The 17,986-nt window shown below is 41.1% G+C and overlaps 1 protein-coding gene across 15 annotated transcripts in view; it reads right to left on the reverse strand.

The window, feature by feature from the left end:
• Positions 1-5,315: 5,315 nt before the first annotated feature.
• Positions 5,316-17,986, reverse strand: part of HP1BP3 (heterochromatin protein 1 binding protein 3) — a 47,042-nt gene continuing 34,371 nt past the window's right edge. For 12 of the 15 annotated variants that reach the window (NM_001376793.1, NM_001399820.1, NM_001372052.1 and 9 more), the window contains 4 exons: positions 14,773-14,932; positions 12,594-12,705; positions 10,593-10,706; positions 5,316-10,141 (listed from right to left, as the gene is read on the reverse strand). In NM_001376793.1, coding sequence (NP_001363722.1) covers positions 9,847-10,141; positions 10,593-10,706; positions 12,594-12,705; positions 14,773-14,932 — 681 coding nt within the window. In that variant the 3' untranslated portion in view covers positions 5,316-9,846. Of the gene's footprint in view, positions 10,142-10,592; positions 10,707-12,593; positions 12,706-14,772; positions 15,026-17,986 lie in introns of all 15 variants that reach the window. The other 3 variants (NR_164851.1, NR_164850.1, NM_016287.5) reach the window with 2 other exon arrangements.

The following is a 17,986-nucleotide window of genomic DNA, read 5'->3' on the forward strand; positions in this document are numbered from 1 at the left end:
AATTAGCCAGGCATGGTGGCGGGCGCCTGTAGTCCCAGCTACTTGGGAGGCTGAGGCAGGAGAATGGCGTGAACCCGGGAGGCGGAGCTTGCAGTGAGCCAAGATCGTGCCACTGCACTCCAGCCTGGTCGACAAGCGAGACTTTTGAGACAGAGTCTTGCTGTGTCGCCCAGGCTGGAGTACAGGGGTGCAATCTCGGCTCACTGCAACCTCCGCCTCCCAGGTTGAAGCAATTCTCCTGCCTCTGCCTCCCAAGTAGCCTATTACATGTGCACGCCACCACGCTTGGCTAATTTTCATCTTTTTGGTAGAGATGGCCCAGGCTGGTCTTGAACTCCTGACGGCAAGTGAACCACCTGCCTCAGCCTCCCAAAGTGCTGGGATTATAGGCATGAGCCACTGTGCCCGGCTTTCATTTTTATTTATGCATCAAAGTAATGTAACTGCTTATCTGGGCTACTCCCCCAGGTTACCAAATTCAGTTGGTCTTATCCTAAAAGCGCAGAAACACCAAACTTGTACCACAGATGTAGCCTCACTAAAGGTACATAAAGGTATATTCCATGTACAAACTGAAAAGTTTACATCAAATGTAACAAACTTCAGTCGGTATCAGCCATTTCCTGGGTTCCGCTCAGGATTGCAGCGTAAAACGGCCATCACTGCTTCATCTGCCAAATGTCTGTGATCTCACATTCATGACAACACAAGCGCTCTTGGGAGCCACCAGGTGCAAAACTTCAACCACTGGATTAATGACTTATGTGTACAGGAAACCCAAGGACCCATATTGAGCAGGGAAGGATGACAAAAAGGCAAGCTGGGGTGGGGGTGGGAGTCATGACTGCTGAACATGTTGGTGCACATGCCATGTCATGGTATTTCCTGATGAGTTAATGACAATGACTAAACCATACAGGTGTGAGCTTGCTATCAATCTTCCCTTTTCTCTAAAATCCCAGAATCATGGGCTGGAGTTGGCAGCTGACGAATGTGTGTGGGAAGTAACACATCACTGAGAAGCTGTTCTCTAACAACAGGACTGAAAACCAGAGCCAAGATGGTAAGCTCCCAACAGGCCTCGCACAGCAACAGCTCATCCACATCCACTTTTGACAGCGCACACTCCATCCCAGTCTCCAACACCTTCACATGTTGAGTTATTTCACCTTTGAACACTATCATTCTGTTCTCTCAGATGTGTCCTGGCGGCCATCCCTGCAATTTATCAACATTGTCCCCCAAAAATAGGTGACCTAGAACAGCGATTTTAAAAAACATTCCGGCCAGGTGCCGTGGCTCACACCTGTAATCCCAGCACTTTGGGAGGCTGAGGCGGGCAGATCGCCTGAGGTCGGGAGTTCGAGACCAGCCTGACCAACATGGAGAAACCCCGTCTCTACTAAAAATACAAAATTCGCCGGGTGTGGTGGCGCACACCTGTAATCCCAGCTACTCAGGAGGCTAAGGCAGGAGAATCACTTGAACCCAGGAAGCGGAGGTTGCGGTGAGCCGAGATCATGCCATTGCACTCCAGCCTGGGCAACAAGAGCGAAACTCCGTCTCAAAAAAAAAAAGAAAAAAAAAATTCCAAACCAGGCACAGTGGCTCATACTTGTAATCTCAACGTTTTGGGAGGCTGAGGTGGGAGGATCACCTGAGGCCAGGAGTTCCAAACCAGCCCGGGCAACACAGCAAGAATCTCCAAAAAAAGAAAAGAAAATTTAGCAATTAGCATTTGGAAGATTTGGAAGGCAGAGGTGGAAGGATTGCTTGAGCCCAGGAGTTTGAGGCTGCAGTGAGCTATGATTGTGCCACTGCACACCAGCCTGGGTGACAGAGCAAGATCCCGTCTCCAAAAATAAAATATAAAAAAAATTCAGAGACAATGTCATGAACTGTCCTCCCCAAATTCTTATGTTGAAGTCCTAATCTCCAGTACCTTGGAATCATATTGGGAGACCGGGTCTTTAAGGAGGTAAATTAAGAGTTCATTAGTGTGGGTCCTAATCCAGTAACACTGGTGTCCTTATAGGAAGAGGAAATTTGGACACAGACAAGTACAGAGGTAAGGTGACATAAACACACAGGGAAAAGACAGCCATTTGCAAGCCAAGGAGAAAGGCCTAGAACAGATCCTTCCCTCAGGGGCCTCAGGAGAAACCAACCCTGCTGACTCCTTGATGTTGGACCTCTAGCCTTCAGAACTGGAGAAAATATTAATACATTTTTGTTTAAACCTGTCTGTGGTACTTTGTTATGGCCCCCCTAGGAAACTGATACAGTGATTAAAATAAGATTCCCAGCCAGGCATGGTGGCACGTGCCTGTAGTCCCAGCTACTTGGGAGGCTGGTGCAGGAGAATTGCTTGAGCCAGGAGTGAGTCTAGCCTAGGTAACACAGTGAGACCCCCATCTCTAAGAAACATAAGGCTCCTTATCCATCAGGAAATGGGCCACAACATGGTATTGCTTGGCTCTTCTTCCCTGTGTATTCTTCTGGTTGGCAGAAAGTGTGGAGGTTATACAGAAAAATGTCAGAGCTGGAGGGGCTACAACAGATGATCTGAGTTCAACTCACTTTTCCAGAGAATCAGAAGGTTAAGTGACTTGCCCAAGGTCGCACTGCTAGTCCTGGTTCCAAAGTGGACATGTGGACAGACTATATGTAGCTGTACACTCTTGGAGGGTCCCAGCCACTGCTTCTCGTGTTTTCCAAGGAGAGTGAGTGAATGTACACGTCTTGGGGATCAGACAGCAGAGCCTACCTGAAGCACTCCTGCTGCTTTATTTCCGGGAAATCTCGTTTCCTCTTACCAACTCTTGTGGGCTCCATACTACCTTCTATTTGTGTCAATATTACCATGAAGCCACTCCCTGCAGTATCTTTGAATAAAACTGATGCCCCAGAAAGAGGCACCATATTTATTTTGCTCCTACGCGTATCCCATTTGAGATGCAGAGAAAAGAGGAATGGTTTATAGTACCTTCCCAACTGAAAAGCACAGGTCTGGAAAAAGATGGCTCCTTCCCAGAAACACTTTTTACAAAGTTTGTTACCACAGACAAATAAAATAGGAGGTCTTGAAATGCATTCCAGAAAGTACAGTAAGGCAGGTATTACCCAGTATTAAAATAATGCCTATGCTGAAAAACTGAAGCTGGTATTCTTTAATGGAGATTTTAAGAAATAAAGATTGCACAAGTAGTTTCAGTTTTCTCTGCAGCTCTGCTCTTCATCTACACGGACAGGTGAGCCAATTGAGGCACCAGCTTTGACCCGGGTGGCAGCAGATGGCTGCCTAGGCATCTGGTGGCCACAGCTCAGAAGGAACTCATGTCTCTTGCTCACCTGGCTTCTCTTCCCTGCTCCCTGGCTTTTGAAACTCAAGGCTGTATATGCTTCCTTTGTTCTTGTTCATCTTGTGCCAAGTAAGCTTCTAACAGTTTAATAACCTGATTTTAAAATCTGTGGATCAAAAAAAAAAAATATGCTAACCAATGCCCATTAATTTCATGGCATGACCCTCTCATCCTTGCTGTCAGAGTTTGCTGCTTGAGCTATCAGTGTACAAAACCACTAGAGGAGGCCTGGAAGAAGGATGAGTGGTCTAGCCTGGCTTCAATCTAACCCCATCAACTTATTACATCTTTAATTTGGGGGAAATCAACTAAATTTATTTGCTTCTGAAAATTGAGGATAATTTCATATATCTTTGAAAATGTATCTGTGAGAATTTGAGATAATGTGATTTAAAGCATCTAGCAATAAGAAACTACAATGTAGTTTAAACAAAACAGAACTTTTGTGAAACTGGACGTTTTGGCTCTCTTATTTTTTAAAAAGTCTTTCCTAAAATACTAAATGCATTCCTAACTGTAGTGTAGTAAACATAGTTCAATATTTCTTTGGAATTGAAGACTCTCACATTGCTTCTAGGTGTTATTCTGAAAAAACAAGGATTGTCAACATGAAGCCCATCATTTTAAAGATGAGGAAATCAAGGCTCAGGGAGATTAAGTGGGTGACCAGGGTCACACAGCTGGTAAGTGACGCAGTCCTCAAAGACCACCGTGCAGGACCACAGCCACAGATGTTAGGACACTGGACTCAACGGTATACTCTGACAGGGAGTCAATCTCTATTTGAAACTGAAGAACATTTATTATTCTATAGACTGTATCAGCAAGTTTGAGTTACACAAACAGGTAACAAGGAATTTAGGTCTGACAGAATAAATTCATCAGAGCAAAAGTTCTCAAAACAGTAGAATGGATGAGCAGGATGTGAAACTCTGGGAATTAGGAAAAAGAGTATTTATTTGTTGGTATTAGGCAAACAAAGCACACAAAGATAGGAGAGACTGAATGACTAAGGTTTCTTTCCGAATCATAAATAAAAGAGCAAGGATTTCTAACATTCCAGCTCATGATTACTAAGCAGATCCCATCTCCAAAAAATTCAGCTGTCTGAGAAAATCCCCATTCTGGAATTTCTCTTGCTTCCTAAAATGAAGCTGCTCATTTAGCAACATAAAGTTCTGATAGAAGCTGTGGCTCCTGTGAGGGGAAAAGCTCTCACGAGTATCAGCATCCTGCAAACTGGATGAATTCACAGGATGAATTCTGAGTGTCCCACAACTAGGATATGAGAATGACCAAATACCTGGAGTGTCCTAAAAAAAGACTTAAGGGATTGCTTAGTAACTTGTGACATAAAAACAAACAAACAAACAAAAAACCCAAAGTGTAGCCAAGATAGTATTTTCCAGTAATCCAAGGTCTAATTTTGACAGTTACCAAAATTAAAACAAAAGCCACACTGACTTGACTATTGGCAAAGTTGGCAATAATTTCATTTCCAAGCCCTCTGCTCTCTTAAACATGTGCTTGGCTGGGCACAGTGGCTCACACCTGTAATTCCAACACTTTGTGAGGCCAAGGCAGGAGATCAACTGAGGTCAGGAATTCGTAATATGCCTGGCCAACCTGGTGAAACCCTGTCTCTACTAAAAATACAAAAATTAGCTGGGCGTGGTGGCACATGCCTGTAGTCCCAGCTACTCGGGAGGCTGAGGCAGGAGGGTTGCTTGAACCCGGGAGGCGGGGGCTGCAGTGAGCCAAGATTACACCACTTCACTCCAGCCTGGGTGAAAGAGTGAGACTCCATCTCAAAAATAAAATAAAAATAGTATCTGTACAGAGCCCGATGTGGAAGAAGCTCAGCTAGTGTTAATCGTTATGACTATTACTACTTACATTAATAAGCCAAACTTACAACTATACTTTATGAGACATACTCTAGGCACCACAGAGTTCTCTTTTGCTAAGCAAAGATTTAATAGTGAACAGTGTTAATTATACATTATATACAATATCAGGAAAAAAAAGAGTTGTAATTTTTGAGGAAAATCGCTTCAGCCTTTTGAGGCCTCCTTTGACATACCAGTGGTTGACAAGACAGAATTAAGAACAGTTAAAACAGTTAAAAAGCTGATAAAATTAAATCATCAAAGGTAGAAAGTTTTCCAACAGGAAAAAAGCCACTGAAGTTAACAGTCTTGTGGAAAAGAACAGAAGAAAGAATAGGGCCAGGTATGGCGACTCACGCCTGTAATCCTGGCACTTTGGAAAGCCCAGGTGGGAAGATCACGTGAGGCCACGAGTTCAAGACCAGCCTGGGCAACACAGTGAGGCCCCATCTCTAGAAAAGATAAATTAGCCAGGCATTTATTAGCTTGCCTGTAGTCCTGGCTACTTGGGAGGCTGAGGTGGGGAGAACTGCTTGAGCACACGAGTTCAAAGCTGCAGTGAGCCAAGATCACACCACTGCGCTGCAGCCTTAGTGACACAGCAAACTCCATCTCAAAAAAATAATAAGTAAAAGAATATAGTTATAAAGACGGTAGAGATTAATTTCTTAAGAAAATAATGCAGCTGATTAGGGGTACTGTTTAACCATCTGTAATGGCTTCTAAACAAATCTTTGTCAAGTGGTTCCTAAGCCAAAACTTCAACAGTTCTGCTTCCTTGGCTTTGGCTCTGCAGAAGTGAGTGACCATCTGTTCCACCATGAAAATGCAAAAGCAAAATCTACATGCTAGAAAGTAATGTCAACCAGAACCTCTGGGGAAACAGTTTAATGGTCTTTTCCAATTAAGAATAGAATTTCTTTTCTTTCATAGCTAAAATTAGAATTTTTGCTTAATCCAAAGAAAGATAAATTAATCAGGTTCCAAAGATAGGAGACCTTAACTATAATCCCAAATTTTTAAAGTTTCTCTTAGTTAAATGCAGTATTTAATGAACATGGCTGGTGAGTTTCGTTCTCATGACGTATCAAGATGGCAAGAGGGTCACAGCCTGAGAGAGAATAATTTCACAGGCTCTTTAAAGTAAGTATTAATTAAGAATTGGTTAGCAAACCTTGACAAGGGCTAACAAAATTTGGAAAAACAGCAATGATGAAAAAACAAATGTCAAAAGGTGTTAGCAGATTGTTTAGTTTTGTTTTCATGTCATTTTCCTGTTAATTATACCCAAAAGACATGATTAAAACATACACCTGTTTCCTAAGATTTATACAGGACCAGGTTTCCTTTAATTAAGTCCATGTGGATGCATAGTCAGAATCCATGTGCAATGAATGCTTCTGTCATAGTGCTAAGGAAAGGTCTCCACATTTCTCAACAATAGTATCTTTCCTTCCTCATTTTGTAGGTTAAGAAGCCAACAATCTCTCTCCCAGCACTTTCTGAGACTCATTTATCAAAGGTAGCTTGTAGGTAGTTTCAGAGTGTATGAAACACTGTAAATGAGGTCACTAAGCCACCAACAGAGTACTGAAGCTATTGATCCATGCTAGAGATTTCTGGGATTACCTCTGGGGTTTGTTGTTCCCCTTTCTGAACATGGAAGTAAAAATTATAAATGTGTTCTGCTCCTTTGGAATGCCTGGAAGGGAAAAATCAAACATTCTTTTATCTCAATGTAAGTAAGGCGTATGTCTTTGACAGTTGTGGATGTTCGTGGAAGAGTGCGATGACCTTCCTGTCTTTTCCCTTTACATCACACTGAAACAAACTGTCCTTATAGTTAACAGAACGTTAGAGTTGGAAGAAACTTTAAATGATCTAAACTTCTCAGCCTGTGCTTAAGTGCCTGGTGTGCAATACAGCCACCAGGTGATTATTCAGTAAGTCTCTTTAAAAGCAGTATCATAAAGCAAAGAAACCAACCAAAATCTCCCAACTTTTGATTCCAGAAGAGTACAGAATTCTGAGCACAGGTACCTAACATCCATACTATTAAGAATCATTACTTGCTAGAGAGCACAGGAGTAATTACTACAATTACTTCTAGAATTTGATGTCTAGGATTTATCTGTTATCTTTTGCAGTACTGTAATTTTTTCTAGTCCAAGGACTTATCTGAATATTGAACATTTATTGAACATGATTGTACTCTATGATCTTGGAAGCAGTCTTTAATAAAATACAAAATGATTTTTTAAACCTTTGATTCATTAAGTAATTAGCATTCAATGTATCTGGAAACATCGTTTACCCTCTATAAGAATTCCAAAACACATGAACTGGAGCTTGTATTTAAAAAGGAAAATGATGGTGTTCATTTCAAGGAGTAGAAAAGACTTAAAGTGAGGGCGACACTTAGCTACTTCTGAGGATATACTATACTCAAAACCTTTAAATATAAGCTACGGTTCAGCAGCTTTTAAAATTTCATGTTTATTCATATTTTTCAAAATATATGTACATTAAAAAAGGAAGATTTACAACAGGAAAGATTGCCTTACATGCAACACAAATTCCAATGAATTCATGATGGGATCACACATGATTATGATCTAATTCAAGCCAATCTTCTCAAGTCCATTTCCCAGCCATACTTTAGGCTACAGAAGGGATCCCAGGAGACAAAAGTGGAATGAATAAGAAACAAACATCTTTTGCCTCTGGCAGTACTCAAGGGGCCAGAAGATGTACTTCAAAAACTTTAAGACAATTAAAATGTCAAGTGCCACAGGGAAGAGAAATGATAACCAGAAATTTGTATTTCTAGCTAGTACTATTTAACACAACTTCACAATACTAAAACAAATACAAATAAGAAAGGGTTAGGTAGTTGGGCTTCATTTACTTTTTTCCTTTTCTTTTTTTTTTTAATATCTCAAAAAGGAAGCCACTTGCTTGATATCAAAAGTGCTGTGGAAAGAAAGGAGGGGAAAAAAACCCACAAATAAATGTAGAATCTAGTTTATTTTACCAAACTGTATATTTTTCCACTTAACATTTCTACATTAGCAATGATGTAACTCTCCAACATTTCCTTATAAAAAAGGCAAACAAGAAGTGACAACTCATGCTCCAAATATTAAAAAATATATTTAAACATATGATCAAGAAGATTTGGGCCGTGAGTGGTAGCTCACATCTGTAACCCCAGGATTTTGGGAGGCTGAGGTGAGTGGATCACGAGGTCAGGAGATCGAGACCATCCTGGCTAACATGGTGAAACCCCAACTCTACTAAAAATACAAAAAATTAGCTGGGCGTGGTCGTGTGCGCCTGTAGGACCCAACTCAGGAGGCTGAGGTGGGAGAATCGCTTGAACCTGGGAGGCGGAGTTTGCAGTGAGCCAAGATCACACCACTGCACTCCACACTGGGCGACAGAGCGAGACTCTGTCTCAAAAATAATAATAATAATAAAAAATAAAAAAGATTTGTTTTGATTTTTGGTAACACAGGTGACACCAGAAATCACAAATCAATATATTTCTACACTTCCCCTTCAGTCAAAAACCAAGTGGGATAGGCCAGGCACAGTGGCTCACTCCTGTAATCCCAGCACTTTGGGAGGCCGAGGCAGGCGGATCACCTGAGGTCAGGAGTTCGAGACCAGCCTGACCAACACGGCGAAACCCCATCTCTACTAAAAATACAAAAAAATTGCCAGGCGTGGTGGTACACACCTGTAATCCCAGCTACTCGGGAGGCTGAAGCAGGAGAATTGCTTGAACCCAGGAGGTGGAGGTTGCAGTGAGCTGAGATTGCACCACTGCACTCCGGGGCACCTGAGCAAGACTCCGTCTCAAAACAACGACGACAACAACAACAACAACAAAAAACAAGTGATATAGAGAACTTGTGCTTGCTGTTAAGGGAATGCAATACTTTGGGCCAGTGAAAAATACCTAGAAATTGATCAATATGAAATGTAGCCCAAAGGAGTCATATATCTTCAAAATCTAATGAGATCACCCTGTTTTTGGCTTATTCCCAAAGCTGTCTCTGTGTTTACAGTTGGAGAGAAAAGGTTAGTGGAGTGGCTTTTATAAATAAGATTAATTATTACAGCTATAACTGAAGTCTCCAGGCAGGAGGCTTTACAACTCAGTCAGTGCTATATTGTGCCTCCATTTTACTTCCAGGACCTGACTGGCATACCGTTCTTGATGCTTTCTACAAATATAAAAATCTCTGCAACTGTTTAGATAAAATTGGAAGAAAAAAAAAAGGCAAAGCTGACCATAAAAACAACAGGGGGTTGGGGGAGGCAGAGAAAAAGGACAAGTATACATTACATAGTTTAGGAAAGTCCAGGATTATTGCAGAAATTAAAATGAACAAGGAAAAGGGCAGGCACCAATAAAAGCACCTAAAGCTAGCAAATGCCTAAACTGGTTTATTTAGAGTCCCTCCCCACAATGTTCATAGGGGAGGAAAATAATGTAATTTGAAAAGCATCAAAACTAAACAAATGCACACTGACCTTAGAAAATAAGATTTTGAATTTCATCATGATACCCTTTTTTCCTATAAAATTTACTTTTTCACTCTGAAAGACTTCTTCATGGTGGATTTGCCCTTGCCCGGCAATTTTACTTCCTTTCTTGCACTGGTTGCAGGCTTCTTTGAGGAGCCACCACTAGGTTTCTTGATGACTGTGGATGAGGGTCTGGTCTTCTTGGCAGGCGTTTTGGCCTTAGGAGGTGCTTTCTTAGGCAAGGGCCTAGCTTTCCCCCGCTGGGCAGCTGAGACTTTAGGTGCAGGTTTGGACCCTCTCTGCTTCACAGATGCGGCCTTCCCTGGGGACTTGGCTGGGGTTTTCTTCTGCAACCTGTGAGAACCAAAGAGCAAAGGCCGTCATTTAGTACTTAAGAGATTCGTTTTGTTGGGACAACCAGATGCTTTCTAAAGAGAAACGGCATATGAAGTGGTCACTTACGTTAAGAATAGGAATGTGACAATTTTTTACTAGAGATTTTACTAAAATTGTATAAAAATTCAACCAATTCATGAAGTCTAGACACAATTTCATGACGTTGTTCCTAGGGAAATATGTAATTATTTTTCTTTGAATAACTAAACTATGGATACACACAGGCTTGCCCTAAAAGTCTGGAGCCCTTGATTTTCAAAGGAGAAGATCAATCCAAATTTATATAAAGAACTTGAGAAGGATCCTGAGTTTCTGAAATGCTTTTTAGCTTTAGCCCCTCCTATAGCACTATTTTTCAGCTCTGAGGTATTTAGTGTCCTCCCCACAAGGGGTTTTCACATGTCCACACCTTCTCTTAGGTGGCGGCTCTTCATCCTCAGAGTCTTCTTCTGATGACTCATCTTCATCTTCATCCTCATCTCTAGAATCATCTGGCTCTTTCTTCGGAAACAGAACTCCTGGGCTATACGGGGAAAAATTAGATTAAAACACAAGTCCCATATAAAACAAGAAAAATAATGTGAACCTAGATGCTCTTACCTGGACATATCCCACTTCTTCCCACCCTTCCCAAAAATGTCAAGCTAGGTTACACGTATCAGGTTACAATTTACCGTATTTTGAACATACATATAAAGTTATGCCAAATCTATAAAAGTCCTGCACCATACCTAATTCTATACCCACTATTTAATAAAATTAATCCATAGTCATTTATTTAGTAAACAATTACTTAAACTCCTAATATGTATCTGGCACTGTATTAGCCAATGAGTACACAGCAATGAACAGTCTGCATGGAATACACACTTCAGCCTCATAATACTGGCAAAAGACCTCCAAGTCTTAAAAAAAAAGACCTCAAAGGCCTAAATCTGTTCAAAGCTTCAAAGGTATTCGGCAAGGATCTCCTAAACTCTTTTTTGTCCTTGGTGGTATGAACCTTGATTCCTTTGATTAACATATCCTTAAATGATAACATACATACATATATGTGTGTGTGTGTGTGTGTGTGTGTGTGTGTGTGTGTGTGTTTCTTGCCTTTTTCAGACACAGGGTCTTGCTATGCTGCCCAGGCTGGAATCAAACTCCTAGGCTCAAGGGATCCTCCCACCTCACCTTCCCAAGTAGTTAGGACTACAGGTGCATCCCACCACACCTGGCAGAATGTAACATTTTGTGTGTGTGTGACTTTGGGAATTAAATTTAATGTTTAATGTTCGAAAAATTTATATAATATGTATTAAGCCAAGTAACACTTATGTTTGTACAGAAATAATAATATAAGAAAGTTACACAATAGTCTTGCTAAAACAGGGTCTTAGTGGTATATGTTATGTACTTTACTGGAAATCAAAAGGCTTTAAACCCAGTGCATGAAACAATGCTTGGACCACAGGAGGTGATCAATATATTTTTTTGTTTCAAAGAATAAATAAGGTATTTGCAAGAAACAAATTTTCAGATAAGTGTTCCTGTCTCTACAGTATGGAGGTAGAGTTAAGATTCTTGAAAACAGTCAATGTTCTCCCCACTTGGTATTGGACAATTAAAACTTATGCATATAATCCCATCACTTTGGGAGGCTGAGGCGAGAGGACTGCTTGAGCCAGGAGTTCAAGGCCAGCCTAGATAATATGGTAAGACCCCCATCTCTACAAAAAACACAAAAATTAGCTGGGTGTGGTGGCGCGCACCTGTAGTCCCAGCTACGTGGGATATTGAGGTGGGAGGATCACTTGAGCCCAGGAGGCGGAGATTGCAGTGAGCCGAGATTATACCACTGCTCCAGCCTGGGCGATAGAGTGAGACCCTGTCTCAAAAAACAAAAACAAAAACTTATACATAATCCTCTAAGAATCTGTCATTATCATTTACTTGATAAAGAAGGAATGAACATCAAAATGACCATCCGAGGATCTCAAATAATCTTATGCCTGGCTAAAATCACTATTTTTATACAAAACCTTTTACTCCAAAATAATACTGCCTTAAAAGTCATCTTTATTTTCAAATACAGTTGTCCCTTGAACAACACAGGTTGGCAACGCATTAGCCCACTTTATATGTGGACTTTTTTTTTTCAACCAGACACAGATCAGAAATACAACATCCACAGGATGCGAAGCCTGCATACAAAGAGGACAGACTTTTCAGATACATGGATTCCACAGGGCTGAGTACATGCGCATTTGGGTATGCGGGCAGTTCTGTAACCAATCCCCTATATGTAACAAAGGACGACTGTATTTCCAGTTCACTAAAACAGTAATAAGGGTAAAATAAATTAAACTGAGTGTGTAACTTAGACTATAAATTTACAGTGATCTATTATAGGCTAAGTACTTACCTGGGATAATAGGGAAAACAGAGCTGGAAGGTGCCACTGAACCCTTTCCCAGAGATCTGTTCCATCCACCCATTCTTTTCGCATTTCTGCAGGGTTTTTTTCAGCAAATGCACTGAAAAAAAAAATTCAGAAATGAAAGTTATCTAGTTATTCAGATTAGATAATTCCCTCAACCACAAACAGATGCCCATCAATTTAATATCCTGTCACATACGGTAATTGACATACACTAAGTGAATCCTATGTGTTCAAAGGTATTTAATTAAACATTTACTTATTGCCCATAAGTTTGGCAAGAGTTAAATTATATACATACATACATACATATATCTATATTTTAAAATTTTGCAAAATATAGAGACAAAGTCTCACTATGTTGCCCAGGCTGGTCTCAAACTCCTGGGCTCAAGCAATACTCCCACCTTGGCTTCCCAGACTGCTGGGACTCCAGGCATGAGCCACCATACCTGGCAAGAGTTATAATGAAAAGACACATTAGAGACCATTGAGTCAAATACCTTATTTCACAGGGAAAAAAAAAAAGCCCAGAGTGGTTAAGTGACTTGAGCTCAAAGTAGTTAAGTGACTTGCTCTAAGGTAGCACATAAACAGCAGACCTAAAACTAAGTATTTAATTATTTCCATTCACTTAAACATCTATTGTGTACCTATAGGTATTGATAATCATCTAGGAGAATCTCTTATAAAGATGAACAGAACTAATTATTCATAAATCAGTAAACAGTAACAAAACAATATCATGGTTCCTGAAGTCCTTCATTCTCATCTTTCTTACAGAGACATATCCAAAATATATTTTATGGTGATTCAGTATCCAAAAAACAGCTGCAAATATCAGTGAAACTGAAAGGCTTGTTAACCAAATTCATCTTCTCTTAAAACATCTGGCATATAGAAATAGGCCGGGCGTGGCGGCTCACGCCTGTAATCCCAGCACTTTGGGAGGCCGAGGCCGGCAGATCACGAGGTAAGGAGATTGAGATCATCTTGGCTAATACGGTGAAACCCTGTCTCTACTAAAAACAAATAATACAAAAACAAAAAAATTAGCCAGGGGTGGTGGCAGGTGCCTGTAGTCCCAGCTACTCAGGGGGTGGAGGTAGGAGAATGGCGTGAACCCAGGGGAGGCGGAGCTTGCAGTGAGCCAAGATCGCACCACTGCGCCCCCCAGCCTGGGCAACACAGCGAGACTCCGTCTAAAAAAAAAAAAAGACTTCAAAATTACCTTTTAATTACAATAATATATTCTGGATTGTCTTCTTCTGTTACTTAATTTCCATATCCCTCACCCTACAACATTGTGCCTCTTCTAATAGTTCATTGAGAAGTCACCCAGTCTCACCAATCCACACGATAATGCTGATAAGGCAGGGTGTCTCATCTCAAATCACCACCTCCTAGAGTAAATATACTTTACTGAAATAAAGTATTGTCTGTTGTGGGGCTTAGGTTAATAAGAAATAATATAAGTAGTAAGTACTCTAAAATCCTGGCTTTGTTTCAAAGTAAAATTAGATGTTTTTGGTGAACATTCAAAAGTAGGAAAAAATACACTATAATTTAGAGTTGCTTTGAACCTAGAGATTTATCTAAATTACAATAAATATCAGAAAAATCTTTACAGTAAAAGCAACTTCTTATAAGCAGATGCTTTAAATTAAGAATTCAGTTTTGATTATTTGTTTTTCTTTTTGTAAATATGAAATTTGTAAAGCTGTTCCCTCTTGGTTTTCAGTCAGTAGTTAATACTTTGACATTAATAGCATGATCTCTATGATTTTTTTTTCTTTTCTTTTCTTTTCTTTTTTTTTGATACATAGTCTCGCAACTATTGTCCGGATTGGAGTACAATGGTGCAATCTCGGCTCACTGCAACCTCCACCTCCTGGGTTCATGCGTTTCTCCTGCCTCAGCCTCCCGAGTAGCTGGGACTACAGATGCACACCACTACACCCTGCTAATTTTTTTGTATTTGTAGTAGAGATGGGGTTTCACTATGTTGGCCAGACTGGTCTCAAACTCCCGACCTCGTGATCCACCCGCCTCAGCCTCCCAAAGTGCTGGGATTACAGGCGTGAGCCACAGTGCCTGGCCCTCCACGGTTTTTTCAAAAGAAAATTCTCCTAATCCCAGTTAAATATACACAACCGAGTCTTACTTTGATAGTTAGAATTGGTTCCTGGGTGATTCTCTAGGACATACTTCTTCAGAGCAGTGGTAGAGCAGGTCTTCGGCTCATTCATGGCAGCAATGGCAGACAAGATTGCATATTCCATCAGGCTTCCACCAAGCAGGGGTTTCTCCCCTGATTTCTTCAGCTGTTTTCCAAGGAGGAAGAGAAAAGCATCAAGACAACACTCTCCCAAAGCAGGTCAAGACAAGACTCCTCTGCACCAGGTGGGTCGGAGTTCCTGCATTAGCACAGATATGTTTTACAATAAATTGTCAGCTTAGGGACTTTCTCTTCCCATTCAACAGGTATTCAATCTAACTGAGAAGTCCCAACCCTCCTATGGATATTTTCTCCTTCCATCTACCCTCCATCCACCCTAAAATAATAGCCAACCTAACCCAAAGATACTGACAACTGTACCCAATAAGCAGGTTAACCAGTTATGTCCCTAAAAATTAAGATTCTTTTGGCTGGGTGCTCACACCTATAGCCCCAGCACTTTGGGAGGCAGAGGCAGGCAGATCACTTAAGGCCAGGAGTTCGAGACCAGCCTGGCCAACATGGCGAAACCTGTCTCTACTAAAAACACACACACACACACACACACACACACACACACACACACACACACACACACACACAAAATAGCCAGGTGTGGCAGGTGCCTGTGGTCTCAGCTACTTGGGAGGCTGAGGCAGGAGAGTCACTTGAACCCAAGACGCGGGGTTGCAGTGTGCCGAAATCATGCCACTGAACTCCAGCCTCGGCGACAGAGTAAGATTCTGTCTAAAAAAATAAATAAATAAAATAAATTTAAAAAAAAAAAGATTATTTTATTTGAGAATACTTCACTTTTCTGAATCTGAAAAATGAAGTATAGCTGACCCTTGAACACAACACAATTTTATCTGTGCTGGTCCACTTATATGTGGATTTTCTTCTGCCTCTGCCCGCCACCCCAAGACAGCAAGACCAACACCTCCTTGTCCTCCTCAGCCTACTCAACTCAAAGATGACAAGGATAAAGACATGTACGATCATCCACTTCCACTTAATGAACAATAAATATATTTTCTCTCTTTTTTTTTTTTTTTTTTTGAGACAGAGTCTCGCTCTGTTGCCCAGGCTGGATTGCAATGACGTGGTTTCAGCTCACTGCAACCTCGGTCTCCTGGGTTTAAGCAATTCTCCTGCCTCAACTTCCCGAGTAGCTGGGATTACAGGCGCCCACCACCAGGTCTCGCTAATTTTTTATTTTTAGTAGAGACACGGTTTCACCATGTTGGCCAGGCTAGTCTCGAACTCCAGACCTCAGGAGATCTGCCTGCCTCGGCCTCCTGACGTGCTGGGATTATAGGTGTGACCCACTGTGGCCGGCCATTATTTCCTCTTTCTTAAGATTTTCTCAATAACATTTTCTTTTCTCTAGCTTGCTTTATTATAAGAGTACATTATATAATACATACAACATACAAAATGTGTATTAACTGTTTGTAAGGCTTCCGGTCAACAGTAGGCTATTAATAGTCAAGTTTTCTGGGAATCTAAAGTTTTTTATGATTTTTTTTTTTTACTGCACGGGGGATCTGCACCTTTAACCCCTATGTTGTTCAAGGGTCAGCTGTAGTTATAAAAAATAATAAATAGCCCTTTTAATCCTATGAGGAAAATAGCAGTGAAAAATTTTGATAAATATTTAGGGTATCAGGGAGCACGGTAGTTCATATCTGTAATCCCAGTACTTTGGGAGGCTAATGGGGGAGGACTGCTTGAGGCCAAGAGTTCAAGACCAACCTCGGCAACATAGTGAGACTCTCTCTCTACTAAAAATAAAAAAACTAGCTATGAATGGCGGCATGCCTGTAGCCTACCTACATGAAAGGGTGAGGGGGGAGGATGGCTTAAGCCCAGGAAGTTGAGGCTATTAGTGAGCTATGATTACATCACTATACTCCAGCCTGAGTGACAGACCAAGACTCTGTCTCTAAAAATAAATAATAAACTAAAAAAAAAAAAAAGTATCATACAAAAGAAAATTACATAGCATACTTTGAAAATGAAAGGTGTGGTAACAAAGGTTAGCAAATAATATGCAAAAAGGGAAAAGGAGAAAACCAGAAATGCTCTACAAAACTGTTTAGTGGTTCTTAAAGAATGGTCTGGTTACAATTGTCTGGGTTCCTGAGACCCTTTCAGAGGATCTGCAAGGTCAAAACTATTTGCATAATAAAACTAAGATATGCCAGACGCAGTGGCTCATGCCTGTAATCCCAGCACTTTGGGAGGCTGAGGCGGGTGGATCAGCTGAGGTCAGGAGCTCAAGACCAGCCTGGCCAACATGGTGAAACCCCATCTCTACTAAAAATACAAAAATTAGCCGGGCATGGTGGTGCATGCCTGTAATCCCAGCTACTTGGGCAAGGCTGGGGCAGGAGAATCGCTTGAACCCGGGAGGTGGAGGTTGCAGTAAGCCGAGATCAAGCCACTGTACTCACTGCAACAAGACTCCATCTCAAAAAACAAACAAACAAAAACCTAAGATGCGATTTGCTTTTTCACTGTCTTTTTTTTTTTGGAGACAGAGTTTCGCTGTGTTGCCCAGGCTGGAGTGTAATGGCGCGGTCTCGGCTCACTGCAACCTCCGCCTCCCGGATTCCAGCGATTCTCCTGCGTCTACCTCCCGAGTAGCTGGGACTACAGGCGCCCACCACACCTGGCTAATTTTTGTATTTTCAGTAGAGATGGGGTTTCACCATGTTGGCCAGGCTGGCCTCAAACTCCTGACCAGGTAAACCACCCGCCTCAGCATCCCAAATTGCTAGGATTACAGGTGTGAGCCACTGCACCTGGCCTTTTCACTATTTTGACATTTGCACTGATGGTGCAGAAGCAATGGTGGGTAAAACTGCTGTCAGCTTACCACAGATAAAGGCAGAGACACAAAAATGTGGTTATTGTCTTCTTTACTGCTATGTACTTATGGTTTAAAAAAAAGAGCACGAATTCACTTAGAATGCCCTTGATAAAGTACTAAAAATTATTTTATTAAATCTCAACTTTTGAATGTCTTTAGAATATTTTATGGGATGAAACAGGAAGAACCACATAATCCGTATCTGCTACATATGTAGACATGATGGTATCCAGGAAAAGCACTTGTGTAATTGTTAAAGTTATGAGCTGAATTAGCTGCATTTTT

The sequence above is a fragment of the Homo sapiens genome, chromosome 1, assembly GCF_000001405.40.
Source record: "Homo sapiens chromosome 1, GRCh38.p14 Primary Assembly".
Lineage (NCBI taxonomy): Eukaryota > Metazoa > Chordata > Mammalia > Primates > Hominidae > Homo > Homo sapiens.